At 54.0% G+C, this 24,222-nt stretch overlaps 1 protein-coding gene and 1 pseudogene across 13 annotated transcripts, besides 8 other annotated features; both read right to left on the reverse strand.

The window, feature by feature from the left end:
* Positions 1 to 717: 717 nt before the first annotated feature.
* Positions 718 to 11,742, reverse strand: ANO7L1 (anoctamin 7 like 1 (pseudogene); annotated as a pseudogene). Of its 11 annotated transcripts, none has more exons than XR_007065494.1 (9): positions 11,685 to 11,742; positions 10,805 to 11,291; positions 10,639 to 10,673; positions 10,043 to 10,300; positions 5,025 to 5,074; positions 3,451 to 3,589; positions 2,866 to 3,324; positions 1,938 to 2,628; positions 718 to 1,420 (listed from the first exon to the last, which is right to left on the reverse strand). The product of XR_007065494.1 is annotated as an anoctamin 7 like 1 (pseudogene), transcript variant X7 (transcript). The 11 variants fall into 11 exon arrangements; XR_007065492.1 differs by having other exon boundaries at positions 10,043 to 10,483; XR_007065491.1 differs by having other exon boundaries at positions 10,043 to 10,673.
* Positions 1,025 to 1,074: a silencer, noted in NCBI's record as "silent region_327". NCBI's record gives its function as "represses an Ori minimal core promoter by ATAC-STARR-seq in GM12878 lymphoblastoid cells {active_cell/tissue: GM12878}" and the evidence as "EXISTENCE:reporter gene assay evidence [ECO:0000049][PMID:35858748]".
* Positions 1,153 to 1,849: an enhancer, noted in NCBI's record as "H3K4me1 hESC enhancer chr1:16542837-16543533 (GRCh37/hg19 assembly coordinates)". NCBI's record gives its function as "activates a minimal SCP1, AML or CMV promoter by ChIP-STARR-seq in primed H9 embryonic stem cells {active_cell/tissue: H9 hESC(primed)}" and the evidence as "EXISTENCE:reporter gene assay evidence [ECO:0000049][PMID:30033119]".
* Positions 2,192 to 2,301: a silencer, noted in NCBI's record as "silent region_328". NCBI's record gives its function as "represses an Ori minimal core promoter by ATAC-STARR-seq in GM12878 lymphoblastoid cells {active_cell/tissue: GM12878}" and the evidence as "EXISTENCE:reporter gene assay evidence [ECO:0000049][PMID:35858748]".
* Positions 2,442 to 2,541: a silencer, noted in NCBI's record as "silent region_329". NCBI's record gives its function as "represses an Ori minimal core promoter by ATAC-STARR-seq in GM12878 lymphoblastoid cells {active_cell/tissue: GM12878}" and the evidence as "EXISTENCE:reporter gene assay evidence [ECO:0000049][PMID:35858748]".
* Positions 15,850 to 16,678: an enhancer, noted in NCBI's record as "H3K4me1 hESC enhancer chr1:16557534-16558362 (GRCh37/hg19 assembly coordinates)". NCBI's record gives its function as "activates a minimal SCP1, AML or CMV promoter by ChIP-STARR-seq in naive H9 embryonic stem cells {active_cell/tissue: H9 hESC(naive)}" and the evidence as "EXISTENCE:reporter gene assay evidence [ECO:0000049][PMID:30033119]".
* Positions 16,503 to 21,994, reverse strand: CPLANE2 (ciliogenesis and planar polarity effector complex subunit 2). Of its 2 annotated transcripts, none has more exons than NM_030907.4 (5): positions 21,442 to 21,994; positions 18,423 to 18,575; positions 17,704 to 17,828; positions 17,321 to 17,457; positions 16,503 to 17,108 (listed from the first exon to the last, which is right to left on the reverse strand). In NM_030907.4, exons 1-5 carry the CDS (start codon positions 21,551 to 21,553, stop codon positions 16,859 to 16,861), a joined length of 777 nt encoding a protein of 258 aa, NP_112169.2. In that variant the 5' UTR covers positions 21,554 to 21,994; the 3' UTR covers positions 16,503 to 16,858. The 2 variants fall into 2 exon arrangements, with proteins under 2 accessions (NP_112169.2, XP_011540428.1); XM_011542126.4 differs by having other exon boundaries at positions 17,310 to 17,457.
* Positions 21,487 to 22,031: an enhancer, noted in NCBI's record as "H3K4me1 hESC enhancer chr1:16563171-16563715 (GRCh37/hg19 assembly coordinates)". NCBI's record gives its function as "activates a minimal SCP1, AML or CMV promoter by ChIP-STARR-seq in primed H9 embryonic stem cells {active_cell/tissue: H9 hESC(primed)}" and the evidence as "EXISTENCE:reporter gene assay evidence [ECO:0000049][PMID:30033119]".
* Positions 21,487 to 22,051: a biological region, named in NCBI's record as "H3K4me1 hESC enhancer GRCh37_chr1:16563171-16563715".
* Positions 21,872 to 22,051: a silencer, noted in NCBI's record as "silent region_330". NCBI's record gives its function as "represses an Ori minimal core promoter by ATAC-STARR-seq in GM12878 lymphoblastoid cells {active_cell/tissue: GM12878}" and the evidence as "EXISTENCE:reporter gene assay evidence [ECO:0000049][PMID:35858748]".

Raw genomic sequence — 24,222 nt, forward strand, 5'->3', positions numbered from 1 at the left:
AGAAAAGAAACCCAGGTCTGTCTGACCCCACCACCAACCTGAGTCCTTCACCACTGCCTGGTACTGCCTCACCAGGCTTTTAGGAGGGTCTCGTGGTGAAAAGTGTGTGAAAGTGTAATCCGGGGTGTCTCGGCTGACCTAACTAAACTCTTATTGGTCTTATTATTCTTACACTACAGGCTCGGAATACACAGCAGAGGTTTCATGGCCCATGCCCTAGTCCCCCAAAGTATTTATTTATTTATTTATTTATTTATTTATTTATTTATTTATGAGATGGAGTTTTGCTCTTGTTGCCCAGGCTGGAGTGCAATGGCGCAATCTCGGCTCACCGTAACCTCCGCCTCCCGGGTTCAAGCAATTCTCTTGCCTCAGCCTCCCGAGTAGCTGGGATTATAGGCATGCGCCACCACGCCCGGCTAGTTTTGTATTTTTAGTAGAGACGGGGTTTCTCCATGTTGGTTTGGCTGGTCTCGAACTCCTGACCTCAGGTGATCCACCCTCTTCGGCCTCCCAAAGTGCTGGGATTACAGGCGTGAGCCACCGCGCCCGGCCCCAAAGTATTTTCCTTAGCTGCCAACCGACAGCCATTAAGTTCAGAGTCATTAGGGTCCCTCTGCTCCCCCATGTTCACTTTGGCTCCCTAGAGCATTGCCACATAGTGAGGAGACACTGCACCGTGTGGGTGGGGACCAGGTGGCCGTGGAGAGGTGGCAGTCTGGGACGCAGAGACAGGTTTATTGTCAGCATTGCACAGAGGCCAGGAGGCAAGAACACGGAAGGGTAGCAGTGCAGGTCTGGAGGTCTCCAGGGAACTCCAATCCTCTCATCCAACTCCCGGACCGGCCTTGGGACACTGCCCAGATGCGTAACTGGAAGCCAGAGGACCCCAATAGGAGGAGCATCCTGGGGAACCTAGGGTCCTGGAAGGGCAGCCCTGCCTCACTCGCCCCTGCGTCCTGGACGCCCCTGCGTCCCTTGTGCGGACATAGAGCACAGCTTGGTCAGGCTGAGCAGGCTGGCACTCCAGAGCAGAGCCCCCAACCCCAGCTTGCAGATAAAGTAGAAAAGGGGGCTTGGCGGGGGCGGAGCTTAATGATGGGCGGGAACAGGCGGAAACTACAGGGAGTCCAGCCAATCCCTCCAATGGATGAGGCCAAATAAGGGGGCGGGGCTAGAGAGTGCTGAACTAGAGAGGGCTGAGCTGAAGCTTGAGGGCAGGCCAAGGGGCGTGGTCATTATGGTCATTATGTTGCGGGTGGGGCCGGGGTCCGCCTGCCTTGCTGACTGAAACAGCGTCTCCCGGTTGTCTGCCACCGCCTGCTTGGCCAGGTAGCGCTCGCGCAGTTATCTTGGTAGCCAGGGCTGGCACATCGGGCACGAGCCGGTCGTTGGGGCACAGGAAGAAGAACACTACATTCTGGGGAGAAGGGGGCCAAAAAGAGAGAATGATTGCCTTAGCGATCTTAACTCATGGAGCGCTTACCCTGAGCCAAACCCTAACCTGAAGGTTTTCCGGATATGAATTCATTTAATCCTCACAACAACTCTATGAGCTGGGGGTAATTTCTACTCCACAAGCGAAGAAACAGAAGCAGAAAGGGGTTGCCATTTGCCCAAAGACATAGAGGTATGATTCGAACCCCTTAACACTAGGAACCACGTCAGGGCAGGGCTTGTAAAAGAGCAAAGCTGGTGGGAGAGTGCTTCCTCTCGTTTCTCCTTTCTCTTGCCAAGAGATAATGTTATTATTATTTGTGATATTAATTCATTGAGCACCTACAACATGCCAGGCACAGTGCAAATGCTTGACACCGAACCTTCATAACGACCCTATGAAGTAGATCCTATTATATAATATATCCCAATTTCCAGCCGGTCGGCGGCAGAGCCTGAACTTGGAACCAAGTCTGTCCAAGACAGATGGCTGAGCCTACCTCGAAGGCGATAATGAAACCCAGATGCACATGCACAGCCAGCAGCTTCCAGTAGAAGAGGGCGAGGTTCACCCCCACGTCGCGAGAGGCCTTGTATCTGGGTTGCGGGGTCTGGAGAGGCTCTCGGATCTCGACTCCGAACCCCGCATTTCCTCCCCTCCTTCTCCCTAGAATCTGGCCCTGCCCGTTCAGCCAGTACCCTAGCCGGCTCCGCGCATTTGTCCGGGGCAGAATCAGCTCACTGCACCCCAGCCAGGCACCACCCCACCCGTCCAGTTTCGGCTCCCGGCTTCCCAGCTAGGCCCCGCCCCTCCCTCCTCAGCACCTGCCCCTCCCAGACAGGCCCCGCCCACCAAAGCTTAGCACCCGCCCTCTCCCAGGCCGGCCTCCCTCACCAAGGCTCAGCGCCGTGCTTCCCAGACAGCCCTGCCCCTCCCGCCTCAGCGTCCCGCCAACCAAGGCTCAGCGCCACGCCCTTCCCAGGAAGGCCTCGCCCACCAAAGCTCAGGGCCCCGCCCCTCCCGCCGCGCCCCTCCTCCCCAGCCTGAAGGGCAGAGTGTGTTTGCTCTGGGCCAGGTGGGCATGGGGCGCGGGTGCCCGCGTGAAATTCACAAATCCGTGCAGCTGGGTGTGGTGTTCGTACTGTTACGGGATATGCGGCAGAAGTCCGAGATGAAGGCGAGACGAAAGCCTGCAGAGCCAGAGGGCCTTCAGGGCCCAACCCCCTAACTCACCCCAACTCGGATCCAGACCCCCTCCCGTGGCAGGATGAGCCTTTGGCCCGGGATCCTAGCCTCCTCTCCCCTATTTCCCAAACTCTGACCCGGATTTCCTTCTCCAGCCCTGTATTTCCCTATTCCTGAACCCCCTTCCCCAGTCTCTGAGCTCCATCTCCCCCGCCCCCTGCCCCTGTATTCCCTTCATCTACCTCACTCCCATTCACGGTGACCTCAAGGTGTACCATGGCCTCCAGCAGGAGCAGTCAGATCCAGATGTCCAGCCGCGCCCAGCCATTGGTCGCTGGTACTTGCACAGGAACTTGTGGGCGTCCAGTCCAATCTCTACCCGGTTGTTGAGCAGAGTGAACAGGGGTGCCAGCAGGAAGGCTCCCACAAAGATGGTGATGAACCCAAACTGCAGCTCTGGCAGGCAGGGAGTGTCAGGCCCGGGGCCACCTCCCCTGTTGTGCCAGGCCCCCAGGGGCCCCACTCATGCCCAGGGCACACGCTGCTGAGCGACTGCTCCTCCATCCCTGGGTATTCATCAAACAGGCCCTGACACTTGATGAGCTCATAGTCCTTCCTTCTCCCAGTGCTGCAGCTCCTGCCCGATCTGGGTGTCCCTCTGCCCTGCCAGCTGCCACTTCTGCCACCAAGCCTTCCGTTTCCTGGAGGCAGGGCAACCAGATAATGGTCATAACAGGGCCTTGTGCTAGGAACTGCCACTTCTATCACCAGCACCCCTTAGAGGCAGGCACCATGATGATTTCCACTGTATTGATGAGGAAACACACCTGGAGAATTTGGCCCAGGCTCCCCAAATTGTAAGTGGTGGAGCCAGTGTTCAAATCCAATCTGTTAGACTCGAGTCCAGTGCTCTCAACTCTGCACTTCCCACATAGTCATTCTTGGTCTCTGAAATATCACTGCCCCCTGAAAAAAATAGTAATAGAAAGCCCTCCATTTGCAAAGCTGTTTCCTGTTGAACGCCTCATAATCCCCTCAACTCTCATGGAGAGGTATTATTGTCTCCATTGTACAGATGACGAAACTGAGGCCCAGAGAGACACAAAGCCACGCAGCTTACAAGAAGCAGGGCTAGGACTTGTGCCCGTATCTTCTGTCCCAGTAAAGGGTTTTTCTGCTCTGCTCTTATAAAAGCCCTCCAAATGGCCTGATTAGGCCCAGCCTTGTCCCCCGTTCTTCCCCCAACACTCACAGCCCAACAAATTCTTCCATGTGGTTGAGCAGCTGTTTGCCCACCATGATGATGATGAGCTGCTGGGTGACCTGAATGTGGCAGCCACCAGGACCGCACTGTTGTTGGCAGACACAGAGCACCTTACTCAGGGCTTTGGGGCTGCATAGGGGTTACCCCACCTCCCTGCTGGTGCAGAGAGTTGGCCACCTGCTCCTCCTACCCACTTTGGAGGCCCCAGAGGCAGATCCTACCCCTGCCAGACCTGAGGTTGTGATGACTACCCCCTAACCCCCCAGAATCAGCAACCCAGGGGTACATAATCACATCCTCACTCGGCATGCTGAGCAAATGTGCCATACTGACCGGGGTATCCCACAAACCTGAGGGCCCCCTGCATCTGTGGGTAATTTGCTCTCCCTCTCTGGAGCCAGGCTGCAGCTAAACTCCATGCTGAGGCTGACCCCCTCTCCCCACTGCTCCTGGTCCTCTGGCCACCCCCTGAATTGACAGCTAACCCTGCTGACAGAGCTGATGGGAGGCCTTGCCTACCCTACTAGGCCCCAGAAGTCTGCTGGGACCATGGCCTGAATCTATGTACTGCTCAACCCATGATCAGCCAATGTGGCATTTATGGCCCAGGAAGATGGGGTCATTGTGCTGGGGAGTGGGCTCTTTTGGTGACCATCCCTCCCATCCCATCAAATGACAATGGCAATTACACAATAACAGCACCTCCTGAGAGTCCAGCATTTTATGACTCCTAACCAGATCTCATTAAAGACTCAATGCTTCTAGGAAAAAGGACCAGCTCTGATTCATTTCTGTGTCCCTAGCATCCAACCAAGGGTGCACAGCAGGAAGGCCCCCAAAAGATGGTGATAAACTCAAACTGCAGCATTGGGAGGTGGCATTGTCAGGCCTGGGGCCACCCAGTGAGGGCTGTAGGACAGACTGAATGCAGGTGTTAGATTTTACAGCTGTGCAATGGTGTACCCATAAATTACAGTTGCTAAGACTTTCGCCCAGGGAAATCAAGAACCAGCTTCAAGGTCCATAGCAAGACCTGGCTAGGAACAAATCTGGAGCCCAAAGGGTGCTGCTGCTTTGCTGGGCTGCTTCCTTGGGAGGCGACAGCCCTAAGGCTGGGGTTTGGGGAGTGGTCCTTACCTGCCTTTGAAGAATGCCATGTAGAAGGGAGAAGAATAGAAATTGACAAACTGAAAATGAAAGTGAAGGCATTTTCATGGAGGCATCTCTGGACAAAGGGCAGAGCTGGTCAGAATTCTATTGGGCGCAAGGGGGCAGGCATAGCCCATCAGGTCAGCCCCTATGCTCCTGTCCTTAACCTACCAACCCCTAATGCCAGCCATGTGTCCCTGGCCACTCTCGCTTGAGGGTGACTGGAGACACCAGACTCCCAGTTCCCAGATGACACAAAGATAGCCTTGCAACACATTACCTGGTTTTAGAGGAAGAACAGGCCAGGCACGGTGGCTCACACCTGTAATCCCAGCACTTTGGGAGGCTGAGATGGGTGGATCACTTGAGGTCAGGAGTTTGAGACCAGCCTGACCAACATGGTGAAACCCCATTTCTACTAAAAATACAAAAATTAGGCGGGTGTGGTGGGCCATTACCGGGAGCCCATCCATTGGTGGGATGAAAAAAACCTGAAGATGCCCACATTAGGCCTGGAGCCTGGAACAGTGCTCTCACCCTCCATTGCCCCAAAGGACATTCGCTTGGGTCATGAGCACAGAGTTGCCAGTGTGGAACATTGCAATGCTGATGATGCCATGGTAAATTATGACAGATACCAGGAAAATCATCACCACACAGAGCTGGGGGCCAGGAGAGAGGGCTGTCAGAGCTGGAGAGTGGACTGCCAGGGTTCCAGTGCACCCACCCTGGAGGAGCCAGTCCTTCCAGAGCAAAGGCCCAGTGTCCCCTCACCACAGTGAGGATGGCTGCAGAGCTGGTGAGTAGGTGGGAAAGGCAGCTGTGCGGTTGGAAGTAGGGCTCCTTCAAGCCTGTCACTGGGTTCTGGGTCATCTGCAGGGCCAGGGCAGCAAACTGTAGATGTGGGCACTCCTATCACAGGGGGCAACAGAAATGTGCATCCTAGGGCCAAGAGGCTGGTGCCATGATCCTAGGCTAGGGGAAGCCCCCCACCTTTTCCTGACTGCAGAGGGAGCTCTGGAAGTGCAGCAATGGGTTCTAATTCATTTTTGGTTTTGCAGGACCTTTTTCCCCAGGGCATGGTTAAAAGCATGTGGATGGATGGCTAGATGGATGGTGGGTAGACGGAGAAGTAAACAGCAAATGAGTGGACATGTGGAAAAGGGATAGATAGACAGATGAGTGAGCAGGCAGTAGGCCGACAAATGGGCAGGTAAACTAGGCAAGCAATCAGTAAATTTCTATAGTTTATTCACAAGTAAGTGAGTAGACAGGCAGGTGGGTGGAGGGATGGATGGATGGCCAGGTGGGTGAGCAGATAAAAGTCTAGTGGGATGGTTGATGGACATGAGGATGGATGGATGGATGGATGGATGGATGATGGTTAGGTGAGTGAGCAGATGAAAGTCTGGTTGGATGGTTGATGGACATGAGGATGGATGGATAGATGGATGGATGGATGAATGGGGGGATGGATGGATGAATGGAGGATAGACAGATAGCTAGGTGGGTGAGCGATGAAAGTCTGGTTGGATGGTTGAGGATTGATGAATGGATGGATGAATGGAGGATGGCTGGATGATTAGGTGGGTGAGCAGATGAAAGTTTGGTGGGATGGCTGATGGACATGAGGATGGATGGATGGATGGTTAGGTGGATGAGCAGATGAAAGTCTGTTTGAATGGTTGATGAACATGGGGATATTTGGATGAATGGATGAGTGGGATGGGTGCATGGATGGATAAATGGATAAATTTATTAGTTTAGTCAATAGCTATTAACCATGTACCACTCTGCAATAGATACTGAATATGCCATAGTGAACAAACTGGAGAAGATCCATGCCCTAATGAAGTTTACAAACTAGTTTGTGAGACAGGTTAAATGAATGAACAGAGACATATATATATGTCCTATGAAGGAAAACTTTTTCATGGATGGTCTGAAGAAATGACACTTTAGCTATGACCCAAAAGGTGAAAAGGTGCTAAAGGGACAGTGGAGAGAAGCTTTCTGGGGAGGGAACAGTGGGTGCAAAGGCAGGGCCACTCTTTTTTTTTTTCTTTTTCTTTTTTTTTTTTTTTTTTGAGACAGTTTCACTCTGTCCCCCAGGCTGGAGTGCAGTGGCACGATCTTGGCACATTACAACCTCCTCCTCCCAGATTCAAACAATTCTCGTGCCTCAGCCTCTCGAGTAGCTGGGATTACAGGTGTGCACTACCACACCCAGATAATTTTTGTATTTTTAGTAGACATGGGGTTTCCCTATGTTGGCCAAGCTGGTCTTGAACTCCTGACCTCAAATGATCCACCCTCCTCAGCCTCTCAAAGTTCTGGAATTACAGGCATGAGCCACTGTGCCTGGCACTAAGTTTTGTATTTTTAGTAGAGATGGGGTTTTGCCATGTTGGCCAGGGTGGTCTCGAACTCCTGCCCTCAAGTGATCTGCCTGCCTCAGCCTCCCAAAGTGCTGGGATTACAGGAATAAACTACTGTGCCCAGCCCGCTCTTTTTAAATTAAATTAAATTAATTATTTTTTTTGAGACAGAGTCTCACTCTGTTGCCCAGGCTGGAGTGCAATGGCACGATCTCGGCTCACTGCAATCTCCGCCTCCTGGGTTTAAGCGATTCTCATGTCTCAGCCTCCCAAGTAGCTAGGATTACAGGCACATGCCACAATGCTGGGCTTATTTATTTATTTATTTATTTATTTATTTATTTATTTATTTTGAGACGGAGCCTCGCTCTGTCACCAGGCTGGGCTCACTGCAACCTTCGCCTCCCGGGTTCAAGCAATTCTCCTGCCTGAGTCTCTCGAGTAGCTGGGACCAGAGGCGCGTGCCACCACGCCCAGCTAATTTTTGTATTTTTAGTTGAGACGGGGTTTCAGCACATTAGCCAGATGGTCTCAATCTCTTGACCTTGTGATCCACCCACCTTGGCCTCCCAAAGTGCTAGGATTACAGATGTGAACCACCGCGCCCAGCCGGGGCTAATTTTTGTATTTTTAGTCGAGATGGAGTTTTGCCATGTTGGTCAGGCTGGTCTTAAACTCTTGGCCTCAAGTGATCCGCTTGCTTCAGCCTCTCAAAGTGCTGGGATTATAGGCATCAGCCACCGTGCATGGCCAATTTCAATTTTAATTTAATTCTTAATATATTTTTTAGCGACAAGGTCTTGTTCTGTCACCCAGGCTGGAGTGCAGTGGCACAATCATAGCTCACAGCAGCCCCAAACTCCTGGCCCCAAGTGATTCTCCTGCCTCAGCCTACTGAGTAGCTGGGACTACAGATACATGCCACTGCACCCAGCTAATTTTTTATTTTTTAGTAGAGAGAAAGTCTCACTATGTTGCTGAGGCTGATCTTGAATTCCTGGGCTCAAGTGATCCTCCTGCCTCAGCCACCCAAAGGGCTGGGATTACAGGTGTGAGCCACTGTGCCCGGGCCAGGGCCACTCTTTAAAGTTACCTGAGTTATGTACTGCACTATCCAAAGGGTACCACTGACATTTACTTCGTTGCCTCAGTGTTCCCTTTCTGCTTTTTCAGTCCCCCAGCACCTGTTTAACCAATACCTTATATATTAAATTATCTCTGTTAAAATATCTTGTTTGGTTTTCTATCTTCCTATAACCCTGTTGAATGGATAAAGTGATGGATGGCTGGACAAATGGGTAGGCAGAAGATAGATTATTCACAGATTCACTCAACAAACATTTATGGAGCATCTTCTATGTGCTAGAGACTATTCTGGGCACTGGGGTACAGCAGCCAACATCACACATAAGGTCTCTGCTCTCATGGAGCTCACACGCCAGTGGGAGAAGACAGATAATAAACAAACAAACCATAAAATACAGTGATGAATGCTGCAATTAAATTAAAACAGTGACAGGGCACCTCTCTGGATTAGTGATCAGGGAAGACCTCTCTAGGAAGGAGATATTTGAGACTTGAATGACAAGGAGTAGGCCACATAAGATCTGAAGGGGCTGGGCGTGGTCGCTCATGTCTGTCTGTAATCCCAGCACTTTGGGAGGCCAAGGCAGGCAGATCACCTGAGGTCAGGAGTTCGAGACCAGCCTGGCCAACATGGTGAAACCCCATCTCTACTAAAAATATAAAAAATTAGCTGGGTGTGGTGGCACACACCTGTCATCCCAGCTACTTGGGAGGCTGAGGCAGGAGAATAATTTGAACCTGGGAGGTAGAGGCTGCAGTCAACTGAGATTGCACTACTGCACTCCAGCCTGGGCAACAGGGCGAGACTCCATCTCAAAAAAAAAAAAAAAAGTTGAAGGAAGAGGATTCTGGCAGAGCATAGCCAATATAGCCAATGCCAAGGCTCCAGGATGGAAATGAACTTGACCTATTCAAGGATCTGGTGGAGCCAGTTGGGCAGAACTAGACACAGGCCAGATGGCACAGGGCCTTGCAGGCCACTGTGAGGGGTCTGGATAGTTTCCCAGGTACGTCTCAAATGAGACTGCCCTGGAAGGCTTTGAGGAAGGTAACACAGATGTCACTGTCCTGGCAGCTGAGAATGAATTAAGTGGGGCAAGGAGATCTGTTGCGAGGTCACTGCAGTGGTCCAGGAAAGAGGAAATGGTGACTTGGACTGGAGTGGGGAGAGCTGGGGTGTGGCAGAGGAGGTAGGGAGAAGCGAACAGACTTAGGATCAATGATAAGATGTTTGGATAGACAGGTAGGTAGCTGGATGGGTGGGTGGGTAGGTGGAATGTTTTCTCCTTCTCTGTTCTTGGGAGGGTCTCTTTCCAAGGCCCGGCTTATTATATAAATACTCTCAGTGTTTCACCTCGCCAAGCCTGTATCATCCTGATGTCAGGGGAGGGTGGAAAGTGACCCAGGAAAAGTGTGAGGAGAAGCCAGATTTGGATCCCAGGATGTTGGACTCCAAAGTCTGACCTCTTCCCAGCACACTTTAAGGCCTCTGAGAACTCTGGGAAGTGGGGTTGTGGCCTGGAGGGCTGAACTGGGCATCACCTCCTGGTCCTGGAAGTCGCTGCAGTCCCAGTGGTGGAGGGCTGAACTGGGCATCACCTCCTGGTCCTGGAAGTCGCTGCAGTCCCAGTGGTGGGGGGCTGAACTGGGCATTGCCTCCTGGTCCTGGAAGTCACTGCAGTCCCAGTGGTGGGCCAAGGTGGCACTCCCTGCTTCCAGTGCTCCAGGAAGGCCATGGCCCCAGAAGGACATGAAGATGCTGAAGAACACGGTTCCTGGGTGGTCAAAGAGGCAGCTCAGCTGTGAGGAGGGGAGAGAGGGCACAAGGTAGGGCCAGCATCCAGGCCCAGGTTGGGTCCAAAATACCTACCTGGTTTTTTTGCCCCTTTCCTTGGCTCACCTTGGCCATGGGGCAGATCCCAGAAATATTCCACGTGGCACAGGTATCACAGAGTGGCACCCCCACTGGCACAGATCTCCTGTCTGTGAGCAGAGGGTGCCTATCCTGGGAGGGCCTATCCTCAACCAGGCAGACAACCTAGCCCACCCAGCCCATCCCCCAACCCTTCCACAGCCACCCACACTAGTGTGTTGGTCCCCACGGTGACAAGGCTAGAGATAAAGAGCAGGGTGCCCACCAGGGTCACAGGCAGCAGACAGGCCATGTAGAAACCTGAAGGGTGAGAGAAAGCTCATGAACCCCCATCTCTGCACTCAAGCCCCACTCCCAGTCCCCACCCCAGCGCCAGACTCATCTAGCCAGGCAAAGTGGATGACCACCTTCACCCCAAAGTACTCTCATACTTTGTCCAAAGGCTGGTCCAGGGGCTGGTACTTGTGCCAGTATCCCCAGCAAGCCCAGTATGGGTACAGCAATTGGCAAGAGTTGAGATCTGAACCGGGTACCTGGTACCCAGGCAGTTCAAAGAGGCCCTAGGAGGACAAAAGGAGGGAGAGCTGCAGGGAGGTTTGAGAGTGCTCTCCGGATGCCCCAGCCACTGCTGCTATGCTGTCAGGCCTGGGAGAGATCTGAGCTTGGGACATCTCTTCCTCACGCAGTGGGAAGGCCGCAGTGTAGACTCCCTCTACCAGCAGGTGGGCGATGCCCATCTCTGTATGTTTCTTCTTCCTGGAGATTGTGCGGTCCAGGATTTCTGCCACTTGCCAGAGGAGTCCTCGTGTCAACTGCCCGCTTAAGGTCCCAGCTGGACTCACCCCAAGCAGCCATCTCACCACTCAGTGCATCCACATGTAAGAGAAGTAGGAGCCATGGGAATCTCTGCCCAGGAATCTGTGAGAGGAACAGGGGTCAGAAGCCCAGCCCTCTGCCCGATCTGAAACCTAATACCAGTCCAGAGCCTCTCCGTTGGAGACAGGCAGGTGAGACATGCCAGCTGCCACTGCCAGAGAGCCCTTCTGGCCACAGAGCGCAGCCTGGGCTGGGTGTGCTCCAGTCAGGTGTGCATCAGAGCGGATTGAACAGGTGGGAATCAGAGATGGTGGGCAGGGCTGGGGCCCCAGTTTGCGGAAAGGACAGGGTCAGAGACCTAAAGCGAGTGAGGCGGGAATTGCCTCTGAGGCACGCCGAGGAAGGGCAAATCAGCCTTGGCTGGGCTAAGGCTTCTGCTGGCTCCAGCCCCTCCGCGGACAGACCCTGCCCACCCAAGGGGCCGCCTGGTCTCACTTGTCCGGCTCCGAGCTGCGGAAGGCGCACGAATCCTACGGCCGGCTGGGCACCTACTGCTGCAGAGGGTTGCGCAGGCGCAGGCGTCGCCGTGGCTCCGCCGAGCCCTCAGAGTCGGGGTTGGGCCGGGCCTGGGGTCAAGGGCAGGGTTACGGCCCCCTAGGGAGACTCCGCCCCTGGCGGACCCCGCCCCACCCCTCCACATGAGACGGCGCGCGCAGGCTCAGTTCCTCGGCGTAGCACAGCGGCTCCCAGGCGCGCTCAGCTCGGCGAAGGGTGCGGCGCTATGCCGGGGTACTCTCCTGGGCTGCTCTCCCAGGAGGAGAGGGAAGGACCCCTAAGCCCCTCCCCTCACGATCTCGGCCGGGAGGTGACAGATCCCTTTTTTTGTTGTTGTTTTGTTTTTTTGAGACAACATCTCGCTGTTGCTGGAGTGCAGTGGCGCGATCTTGGCTCACCACAACTTCCGCCTCCCGGATTCAAGCGATTTTCCTGCCTCAGCCTCCCGAGTAGCTGGGACTACAGGCGTGCGCCACCACGCCCCGCTAATTTTTGTATTTTTAGTAGAGACAGGGTTTCACCATATTGGCCAGGCTGGTCTCGAACTCCTGGGCTCAGGTGATTCGTCCGCCTCGGCCTCCCAAAGTGCTGGGATTACAGGCGTGAGCCACCGCGCCCGGCCAGATCCCATTTTTCGCGTCGGTCCTTTCCGCCTTCAAAAGCGCTTTGACATGCCTTTCCTCGTTTAAATTTCAAATGAGGAAAACGAACACCTTCGTTTTTCAAACGCGGAGACAGACGCCGGGTGGGCCGCGTCGTATAGCGACTGATCTTGCTCCTTTCTTGGGCACCTCCAATGTGCCAGGTCCTGGGCTGAGCGCTTTACACCCTGCGTCCGTGTAATCGTCACAGCCCCTGCCTGGGGCTGACACTACGGCCAAATCCATTTGACAGATGAGCTGCTGAAGGCTCTTGTGCGGGTCTCAGAGCTGGCTAGGGGCGTCTGCGCTCGGCCTCGGGTCTCGCAGCCCGCCGGCTCCGTGCTCACCTCCTCCAGGTTCCGCTGAAAATTCTCGCGCCAGCGCCGCTGCCGGAGTCGCCTCTCTCCCGCCGCCGCGGGGGTCGCAGCTTCTCCTCCCAGGCGAGCACGAAGTCTAACCCATCGCGGGGTCAGGGGGACAGTTAGGAGCGGTCTGACCCCGCTCTGTCCCACTTTTATCTGGGTGGAAAAGGGGATCTGAGTCCATCAGTCCCACTAAGGCCAAAATTAAAGGAAATTTGAGTTGTAGCAAAAGGTATTAGGGTTAGTTCGAGGAAGGAACTGCCCATTGCAAGAAAATGACAAGAGACGCTGCGGGATTCCTCGGGGAGGGGAGAGGGGGTTTAAGGGAGAGCCTGTGGCCTGGCCACTCGGGCCTTCTGGGTGAGGTGGGACAAGAGTATGGGTGAGTCTGACCCAAGTCTCACCAATGCAGGTTTTCCCGTCTCAGAAAATGTACCCCTAGAGTCCGGCACATAAATGCCGCCGCAGGGCGCGAGACACAGTCGTCGTCCTGTCGGTGGCGTCATCGCCGTCTTGGTGCAGCAGGCATGGGGTGAAGGTGAGGGGACAGGGCGCAGTTGCAGGTGCCAGAAGCTTCTCAATTGGCCCAGTTGGGCTGCCCCTCCCTCCCCGCACCCCTGACTAAATTTGAAGTGTAACAGTAGAGGCGCTCTCAGCGCGATCTGAGAGGCTTCTTCCTCCCCTCCACCTGCTCTCTGACCAGAACCGCCGCTGCTACTGTAATAACAAGGACGATGATAACAGCCAACATTTACTGGGCTCTTAACTTGGTGCCCGGCACACGCTAAACATTTCACATGCATTTACTTCTCACAACTCAAAGAAGTGGGTGCTGCTATCTCCATTTTACAGATGTGTCAGCTAAGCATAAGATAATTACAAAGAACATCCAAGGTCACACAGTTCCCCTTCAACCTCCTTCCCGACCACCTGTAACTAGGCCTCAGTCCCACCCTTGCCTCTCAGGATCCACCCCTTCTTTGTAGAATATAGCTGAACACCAGCTCCCCTGCTTCTCCCCACCCACCAGAGGCGGAAGGGCCTACAACCCGCTCCTCCAGCCCATTTTTTGTTGTTTGTTTTGTTTTGTTTTTGAGATAGAGTCTCACTCTGTTGCCCAGGCTGGAGTGCAGTAGTGTAATCTTGGCTCACTGCAACCTCCGCCTCCTGGGTTTAAGCGATTCTCGTGCCTCAGCCTCCTGAGTAGCTGGGATTACAGGCGCTTGCCACCACACCCAGCTAATTTTTGTATTTTTAGTAGAGACGGGGTTTCACCATGTTTGCCAGGCTGGTCTCGAACTCCTGACCTCAGGTGATCTGCCCACCTTGGCCTCCTAAAGTGCTGGGATTACAGGCATGAGCCACTGCACCCAGTGGAGCCCAGGAATTTGAGACCAGCTTGGTCTCTCAAAAAGTTTTAAAATTAGCTGGGTATGGTGGGAGCTACTTCCGGGGCTGGGGAGAAACGGGGAGGATCACTTGAGCCCAGGAGTTCGAGGCTACAGTGAATGATGATTGTGCCACTGCACTCCAGCCTGGGCGACAGAGCAAGACCCTGTCTCTAAAAAAATAAGAAGGGCATCAGCAAGAGGGCAACAGCAGAGCATTAAACCAGGTGTGGGGCTCCTTGGAGTTTGAGACCCTGTGTGACTGGACGGGTCACAGTCCCATGCCATCAGCCTGAACACGTGCATGTAAGAACACACTCTCCTCTCACTCACTCTCCACAGGGCTGCCCAGAGACCTCCCAGGAGGCACAGGCGTCGACTATTCAAAGCATTGTGGCTTCCAGTTCTGCACTGTGGTGATGGAGGTCCCGGGGGTGGCCTACTAAATACTAAAGTGGCACCGGTGCTGCGCTGGGAGGAGCTGAGAAGGCAGCCCTGGATGGCTGGTGGAGGGGCTCTAAGCCCCAGCCCTGTTGCCCTCCCCACTTTGTCCTCACCCAGGGAGACACCTCTTGTTTGGGGTAAAGGTGGATGAAGGATCAATTCTATGACCAGAGCAGTGCCAGCCAGGAGAAGACTGCCCTGCCTCGCCGTGGGGGGGTCAGGTTATGCTCCAGAGCAGCTTTCTGGCTTTTGGCTGAGCTGGTGCCCAAGAGGGACAGGAAGCCTCCTTTCTGGGGGGTGGGGGTTTATGCCCAGAGATGACCGGCTGGGATGTGGGGTAGCTGGTGCCCAAACACAAACGCCTGTAGCTGGAGGCCCACAGTCAGGCCTGGGGCTGCCTTCAGGGCCCTTCCCCCAACTCCATTGCTGTCCACGTGAGCCAAGGTCTCCTGGAGTTAAGGACAGAGGGGGACGTGGACAGGCCCACCTGGAAGCAGGGCTGAGGGCTGCAGGAGTGGGAGCCGGCCTGCAGGCTCTGAGGTGGGGGTCCCGCCCAGGGACATTCCTTCTTGGGGTGTGGGATAAGTGCAGGGCCTGAGCTCTAAGCCTTAGTCAGGGGTGAGAAGGTGCTGGAATCAATTCTTCCTCTGGCCCAGACCCTGGAAGGGTTGACAAATGTAGGTGGCAGTACCCAGGGTGAATAGGCTGGCAGTGTGCATGGGCATGTGAGCAGTGTGCTTGGGCGCGGGCATCAGGACAGGTGAGTCTGGGCCTCCTGTGTGCCAGCCGGCAGGAGTGGAAAGTGCTTTCGTCCTAGCACAGGTGTGTGAGCACAGGTCATACTGTGTGAGTGGGGCCTGGTTACAGCTGCAGAGTTCTGAGAGTCAGCTGGCTTTGGGGACACTCTGCTTTGAGCCAGACGCACGCCAGGCCTCAGCCCAGGGGTTCATCTATGGGGCCCAGCAGGGGCTCATTGGAGGGGATCGTATAAAGGTCCCTTTCCCTGGGGACTTCCCCTCATCCTCCTTAGCCTACTTCCACCAGTCTCTGGCTTATGGGGCAGGGCCAAGACACAAGGCTGGGCCTACTCACTCCTCTCCCAGCTCCTGTCCTCAATGGCCTCCCACGGGGCAGAGCTGCCTCTCAGGCCAGCTCACGCCCTGACCCCCACTGGGATGGTCGTTGGCCCTGCATGGTGCTGCTTTCGGGTGCCCCTGGGCTGCCAAGACTCCTATCCTAAGCCTGGCCTGACAACTCCATGATCAAGAAAGGCATTGCAGGCCGGGCGCAGTGGCTCGTGCCTGTAATCCCAGCATTTTCGGAGGCTGTGGCGAGCGGATTATTTGAGGTCAGGCGTTCGAGACCAGCCTGGCCAACATAGTGAGACCCCCATCTCTACTAACAATACAAAAATTAGCCAGGCATGGTGGTTGGCATCTGTAATCCCAGCTACTTGGGAGGCTGTGGCAGGAGAATCGCTTGAACCCAGGAGGTGTAGGTTGCAGTGAGCTGAGAGTGCACCACTGTACTCCAACCTGTGCCACAGAGCAAGACTCTGGAAAAAAAAAAAAAAAAAAAAAAAAGGGCCCTGCAGCGCGACGGGCTTAACTCCTGGACTCACAGGTGGACTCCATGTCCCAGCCTCCCCCACAGCGCCACATGACCACATGACTGCTGGGTGCTGGCCTCTGGAATGTGGGCAGAATGAGGTGCCACCCTGGGCCTGGTCCACAGAAAGCGGGGGGACACCTCCTGCCTGCACTCACTCCCTGGCTGCTGACTGGGTGCTGACACCCTAGGGCAACTGGGCAGGGTAGGGTCTCTGGGGCTGGGTCTCTGCAGGAGCGCCTGGAGCAGAGCCCCACGCCCACTGTCACCTCCTCCCGAGCTGAGGCCTACGTGAGAACGAACACGTCTCTGGAGTTCAGCACTGGGATTTCGGGGTTTATCTGTTACAACAGATGGTGTCACCTCAACCAATACAGGTTCTTGATTGAAGTAACTTGAGAGGCACCCCCTCTCCCAGTCATCCTCCATCGGTGCTGCCAAAGGGGGAAAGGCCACGGGAGATGTTCGAGCTCAGGGCCTTGGTCCCCACCTCCCTGCCATGAATTCTGCAAGGAAAGCGCTGCTCGCGGGTGGGCCTTCTCTGGCCACATCCTCCCTGATCAGGCCATGCTGGCCAGTCCTCCAGATAGGATCCATGTTCCTGCCCCAGCCTCCAGCCCTATGTCGAGACCTGAGGGTTGGGGGTGGGATCACAGGCAACCACTCGTGACTCATTCAGGAGCACTCTCTGGGGGGTTGGGAAGCAGGCCAGCCGCCACCTGGTCCTGGTGCCACAGCTGCTCAGCAAGGCCATTGAGTATGTGGGCAACGTCGGCCAGCCCAGCCCGCCCGTCCAGTGTGCGCCCATCAGCCAGCCGCCGCCCCGGCACACTCTTCACCCGTAGCAGGGGCAGCTCCCAGGCCTGCCGGAAGGCTGTGAGGTCCCGCTCGGGCACGTCCGTGTGCATGTACTGGTCAAATCTGGAGGAGGGTCAAGGAGCCTAACTGGGTGCCTCTGCACAGCCCCCCATCAGACCCTGCCTCTCCCTCCTCCCTGGAGCCCACACCCAGGAGCTGGGGTAGCCATGCTGTACCCTTTAAGTAAAAGCCCAGGTGCTGAATTCCATGCCTGGGCAGAGGCTGGGCCCCTGACCCCCTGGCTCCGTGACTTGCCAAGGATATCCAAAGGATACTTGGAGCCGATGACCATCCTGACGACACCAGGGGCCTCACCTGCTATGCGGGCCAGCTGTCCAGGGAGGTCTTCAAAGGAGGCACGGTCAGTGAAGGAGAAGAGGAAGAGGAAGGCATCTGTGTTCTCCATGCAAGCCTGGTGATGGAGAGGCATATAACCATGTCACCCCCCATCAGCTGCAGGGCCCTCAGAAGAATCAGGAATAATCCCTCCTTTCACAGATTGGGAAACTGAGGCCCAGAGCAAGGAGCGGCTGGTCCTAGGACAAGCATGGGCTGGGACTGTCTCCAGTGCCAGCTCAGGTCTCTGAGCAGTGCCTTGAGCTCATTAATACCCAATCGGCCCCTGGCAGAACCCACCCAGGCCCACATGCCTGCTCACCAGCAGCATATGATCGAACTTTTTGAGTGCAGACTCTCCACAGTCCCAGAACTCAAAACGAAACATGACGACACGGCTGCTGGCCTGCAGCTTGGCTGGCCAAAATACCACGGTGGTCTGGATGCCTGAGGGGGAGCCAGGGTCAGCCACTCACCATGGGAGAGGTGGAGATGGGAGGAATAGGGGACCAGGAAGGAATAGGAAGAAGAGATACATCCCTGCCCTGATGGGTCCCTAGTTTGATGAGGGAGGCACAGTCCTTGACCCGGGATAATTCTCAGTCTGATGGGAGAAACAGAAACTGGCCCTGGAGGAGACTCTGGTACACCAGGAAGATGCAGCCCTAGCTATGGCAAAGCAAGTTTCGTTTGTATGTCCAGGGAGACCCAAAGGGCCCAGGACGCTGGGAGATGTTTCAACATGGTGGAACAATCAGCATCCAGTGGTGAGAAACAACAAAGCAAGATTAGCATTTCCTGAGCATTTACCTTGAGCGTAGCTTGATGCTAGGCATGTTACCACCACCACCACCTCTAGTGGCAACCACACAACAACCCTGTGGTACTATTATCCCCTTGGGACCAAGGAGCCCATGTAGGCTCAGAGACGTGAAGTGACTTTCCAAGGCTACAGAGTAAGAGGTGGTCCAGGGCCAGGTTCTTGCCTCCACCCCCAAGGAGGGCCTCCCAGGATGGGCAAAGGATAGAGGTCCCACTCACCGGTGGTCTCGTGGTGCACCACAGGCACCTCCAGGCCAGCCAGCTTGGCCACCAGCGCCGTCTTGCCCACACCACTCTTCCCGGACACAAAGATCTTGTAGCTGGCAGTGTCAATGGACACAGGCGGCAGCAGCACTGGCCGCTCAAGCAGCCCTAGGGCAAAGAGAGAGCCAGGCAGGGTCAAGGGGTGCTGTGGTTTGAAGGTGTCCCCCAGAGTTCATGTGTTGGAAACTTAATCGCCAATGCACCAGTGTTAGGAAGTGGGGCCTAACACAAGGTGATCAGCTGCCCTCATAAATGGATTAATGTTGTTATTGAGGGAGTGGGTTTGTTATAAAAGCCAGTTTGGGCGCCTCTTGCTGTCTTGCTGTTGCCCTTCTGCCTTCTGCCACGGGATGACACAGCATGAAGGCCCTTTCCAGATGCTGCTGCCATGTTCTTAGACTTCCCAGCCTCCAGAACCATGAGCCAAATAAGCTTCTGTTCATTATAAATTACACAGAGGAGGCCTGGTGCGGTGGCTTACACCTGTAATCCCAGCACTTTGGGAGGCCAAGGCGGGCAGATCACCTGAGGTCAGGAGTTCGAGACCAGCCTGGCCAACATGGTGAAACTCCATCTCTACAAAAAAAAATACCAAAAATCAGCTGGGTGTGGTGGTGGGTGCCTATAATCCCAGCTTCTTGGGAGGCTGAGGCAGGAGAACTGCTTGAACCTGGGAGGTGGAAGTTGCTAAGCCGAGATCACACCACTGCACTCCAGCCTGGGCGACAGAGCGAGACTTTGTCTCAAAAAATAAATAAATAAATAACTTAGAGTGTGGTATTCTGTTGTAGCAGCATAAAATGGACTAAGACGCGGGTAAATCCTGCACTTGCCCCATCAGATCCTGGGCTGGACAGTCTCACTTATTTATTTTTACTTTTTTTCTTTACCTTCTATTTTTAATACGGATGGGGTCTCACTATGTTGCTCAGGCTGGTCTTGAGCTCCTGGGCTCAAGCAATCCTCCCACCTTGGCCTCCGAAAGTGCTGGGACTACAAGGCATGAGCCACCACATACAGCCAAGGACAACCTCATTTCTAATGGCTTCTTCAGGGCTAACCAACCATCTGTGGTTCTTTTTTGTTTTTTTTTGAGACGGAGTTTCGCTTTTGTTGCCCAGGCTGGAGTGCAATGGTGTGATCTCACTGCAACTTCCGCCTCCCGGGTTCAAGTGATTCTCCTGCCTCAGCCTCCCGAGTAGCTGGGATTATAGGCATGCGCCACCATGCCTGGCTAATTTTGTATTTTTAGAGATGGGGTTTCTCCATGTTGGTCAGGCTGGTCTCGAACTCCCAACCTCAGGTGATCTGCCTGCCTCAGCCTCCCAAAGTGCTGGGATTACAGGCGTGAGCCACCGTGCCCGGCCTCATCTGTGGCTCTTAATACTCAACCTAATTTTACAGAAGTCTGGGATACAAAGAGACTAGCCTAAGCATTATAGTCAGTCTGTTGATATTTATTTACTAGCTGCTCTCAGCGTTTGTTGTGGGGCCTGCATGACAACCACTGAATGATACATTCAGGTGCATAAACCCAGCTGTTAAAAAAAAACCCAAATGTCTGCAGTTAAAGTAAAAACACAAAAATTAAAAGCCATCACTGCCATTCCTCTAAGTTATGGCTGCTTAATCCTATCTGTGGCATAGATAATATGGTCAGTGGATTCTATGATGTTCCCAGAAAATCAGCTCAACCTTCACTCAATTCTCTTCCACTCAACACAACTAAATGCAAAATAAATACAATAACAGCCAACCTTCAGTGAACACCCACTGCATGCCAGAACCTGCTTGGTATGTTACAAACACCCTCCTTATTAATTTCCCCAGTAACTCTATGGGGTAAATACTGTGATTATCCCCATTTTACAGAGGTGGGACTTGAGGCTAGAGTTCACTTATTCCCAGCCATACAGCTAGCAGTGGTGGAGCCTGGGTCACTTGCCTGGGTATGTGTGACCCCAAATACAGTGTTGCCAGCCATCATGGGATTAGAGGGACAGTGGCCATATTAGAGGGTCTTTTTTTTTTTTTTTTTTTTGAGACGGAGTTTCACTCTTGTCACCCAGGATGGAATGCAATGGCTCGATCTAGGGTTGCTGCAACCTCTGCCTTCTGTGTTCAAGCGATTCTCCTGCCTCAGCCTCCCAAGTAGCTGGGATTACAGGTGCCCGCCACCACGTCCGGCTAATTTTTGTATTTTTAGTAAAGATGGGGTTTCGCCATGTTGGCCAGGCTGGTCTTGAACTCCTGACCTCAGGTGATTTGCCCACCTCGGCCTCCCAAAGTGCTGGGATTACAGGCCACTGCGCCCAGCCTTCTAGAGGGTCATTTTTTGAATTTAATATAATTTCTTTTAAAAAAACAAACAAACAGTTGACTTATTCACAAATTTTGGTTCTAGCTATCTCACTCTCTGGTCTTAAGTCTTCTGGCACCTTGCTTCTCCTGGCCAGAGCTGGGCTCCACAGCTGATTCCAGGCACCTCTGCCGGCCTGACAGCTGGGCCCTGCCTGGGTGAGTCAGTTTCACCATGGGGAACACCAGCGTCTCATCCCAGAGACAGCAGGACATGGAAGAGGCTCACCTCTATTTATTGGGGTGTGATCTTAGCCAAGTCTGTACCATGTGCTGTTGAGAGGTTAAATGGGCGTGCACTGTGTAACGTGCCCAACAGAGGGCCTGGCACCAGGGGAGTGCTCAATCAACTGCATCTCTGGTGACAGTGGTTGCTGGCAAGGTTTCTGCTGTTTCCATGTTCCTGGCTCTGACGATGGAATTAGCTCTAAGGAGATTTAGGTGTGGGGGTCCCAGAGCTAGGGCTTTCAGTCCCCCAGGCTGAAGACTGCTGAAGACTGCAGTGGAGCAGGCCCTCACTGCCCTGCCTCTCTGCTCTCCTCAGGGAGCAACAGGTGACACTCTTCTCCCCAGGGAAAGACAAGTGGCGGGCTAGAGGAAAGGGGGAGGCACTTACCAAACACCCGCCGGCGGTTCTTGCGCAGAATGCAAGCCAGGTACTCCTTGCCCTCGGCACTCTCGTGCCAGTTTGGGACAACCACCGAACCGGGCACGGGAGGTCTGGCCATGGCTGGGCACCGCGACGGGGTAGGGAGGTGACAGAATGCTGAGAGCAGGGAGTGGGAAGGGGAGTGACAGTACCAAGCCGGGCCTGTGATCCCTCTTAACTGCCCTCTGACTCTCCCGGGGGGCCCCAGAAAGTGCAGTCCCTCAGCCGCCTCTCTCCTTCGCAATGCTCCCTGGGGATAGTCATCCCATTACTGCCCATGGAGGGTATTCACACAGCCCCTCTCCCCTTGTCACCTCCGGGGGTCAGACAGCCCCGCTTCTCCTCTACCTTCTAGATCCCGACTCCCAGGGCTACCTAGCCCTCCCCGTCAGCAGTCCCGGCGGCGAACCGACCTGGGTGCCGAAGGCCCCTTTAAACGCCCACCCGCACTCCCGCCGCCCCAGCCCGCCGGGCCCACTTCCGCCCCGCCTGCGTCCGCCTTCTGCGCGTGCTGGCAGCTCCGGCGCAGGTGCGCGCGGCGCATGTGCGGAGGTTGTTGCCATGGAGACGCCGGAGGTTGGGTTGGGCGGGTTCCGGGAGGCGTTCGTCCCTCCTACAACGTCCGCAGCCTGCGCCGCGCGGTGGCTCTGGACTAGGCCTTTTCCTCTGGGTTGTGGATCCTCTTCTCTATGACTCCGTCCGATCCCTAGTCTTTCTTCCAAAACATCATGAAACCCCCCCTCCAGGAGCCTTTCATGCTTCTCTGTGTCTCAGTTTCCTCTTCTATAACGTGGACGTAACATGTTATTCCCTCCATAGCAGTGCTCCATATGTTTAGTTATGATTGTTGCTATTATTAATATTATTGCTCTATTAATCCTGCTTGGCAGGACCTCTAGATGACTTAAACATCTCTGGCTTCACTGATGGGGACACACACCAGCTCAGAGAGGTCAAGGGACTTGGCTCAAGTTTTAAAAAATGAGTCAGAGGCCCGCTGGATTGTATTTTTCATTCATTCATTCATTCAACAAATACTGAGCACCTAGCTGGGAATACAGTGGCCAACAAGAAGTCCCTGCTCTCCTGGAGCTGACTTTTCAGCTCTGAAACTCTGAGCTCCTCTCCACCGTTCCAGCACTGGACACCAGGCCTGTTACCCAGAAGGTGGGTGCTCAGTAAATGCCCACTGGTTGGAAAGAGTGCAGGTGGGTCATTACTGAGAGTTTGTCTATTACATTTAATTTTTACCATTATCTTTCCGCAATGCCTTCAAGTAGGGCAAATCACTGTTTTGAAAGGAATAATTTAGGAGTTAAGCTTTACCTAAGGCCACCCAAGTGCCAGACAGTGGGGACTTTACAGGGGTCACCTGATTTAATTCTATAAACAAACCTGTGTAAATAGTATTACCCTCTTGTACTGACGAAGACTCTCAGAAACATAACGTGACTTGTCTGAGGTCACACCGCACAGCTAGTCAGTGTGAAACCGACTCAGAACCCACAGCTGGCTGGGTGTGGTGGCTCACGCCTGTAATCCCAGCACTTTGGGAAGCTGAGGCGGGCAGATTGCTTAAGCTCAGGAGTTTGAGACCAACCTGGGCAACATAGTAAGACCCTGCCTCTACAAAAAAAAAAATACAAAAATTAGCCGGGCACAGTAGTGCACGCCTGTAGTCCCAGCTACTTGGAGGCTGAGATGAGAGGATTGCTTGAGCCCGGGAAATGGAGGTTGCAGTGAGCCGAGATCATGCCACTGCACTTCAGCCTGAGTGACAGAGCTAGGCCCTGTCAAAAAAAAAAAAAAAAAAAAAAAAAGAACCCACACTTACCTGACTCTAAAGTACTTATCTGTTCTGCCAGTTTGGGTTTTGTGTTTTTAAAACTTTGCCCCTAGCCACTAGGAGGGCTGTTCCTAGGGAAGCAGAAAGCAGCCAGAGGACTACGAACTCACAGATTTTTAAGGCCCATTATGTCTAAGAGAGGGGATGAGGATGTGTAAGACAAGGTGCTTTCTCTCAACTTGCTCACGCTGTGGCTAGGCAGAAAAACCAGATGAATAACCATTCCTACAGGATTCTGCAGGTGGAATCCTTTGCCCATACTCCCAGGTCACATGGTTCCCATTCCTGCAGCTGTCACATCTGCCCAGTCAGGGAGATTCACAGCTGTCCAGAGCTCTCTCCATGGGCCAGGAGTCACTCAGTGGCAGGGCTCTGATCTGAATTATTTCTGGATTTCCAGACTTCACATCCACCCATCTTTGGCTCGTGGAGGGCTCAGTGAGCGTGTGAGAAAATGAAGCAACTTGGCAGAATGAACGTGCCTGTTAATCTGCAACCCAGAGAAGATGTAAAGTCCTCTTGGGGCCATGTGCGGTGGCTCACGCCTGTAATCCCAGCACTTTGGGAGGCTGAAGCTGGTGGACCACTTGAGGTCAGGAGTTTGAGACCAGCCTGGGTAACATGGCAAAACCTTATCCCTAAAAATATACAAAAAAATGGCTGGGCGCGGTGGCTCACGCCTGTAATCCCAGCACTTTGGGAGGCTGAGGCGGGCAAATCACCCGAGGTCAGGAGTTCAAGACCAGCCTGGCCAACATGGTGAACCCTGTCTCTACTAAAAATACAAAAATTATCTGGCTGTGATGGCAGGCGCCTGTAATCCCAGCTACTCTGGAGGTTGAGGCAGAAGAATCGCTTGAACCTGGGAGGTGGAGGTTGCAGTGAGCAGAATCATATCACTG

The sequence above is a fragment of the Homo sapiens genome, chromosome 1, assembly GCF_000001405.40.
Source record: "Homo sapiens chromosome 1, GRCh38.p14 Primary Assembly".
NCBI classification, from domain to species: domain Eukaryota; kingdom Metazoa; phylum Chordata; class Mammalia; order Primates; family Hominidae; genus Homo; species Homo sapiens.

Coding starts and splice junctions, on each gene's coding strand:
- CPLANE2 (NM_030907.4), bottom strand. CDS start 21,553: ATGGCCAGACCTCCCGTGCCCGGTTCGGTGGTTGTCCCAAACTGGCAC. Junction 17,829..18,422: donor GGTGCACCACGAGACCACCG/GTGAGTGGGACC, acceptor GCTCCCCCTCAG/GCATCCAGACCACCGTGGTA. Junction 17,109..17,320: donor AGGATGGTCATCGGCTCCAA/GTATCCTTTGGA, acceptor ACCCTCCTCCAG/ATTTGACCAGTACATGCACA.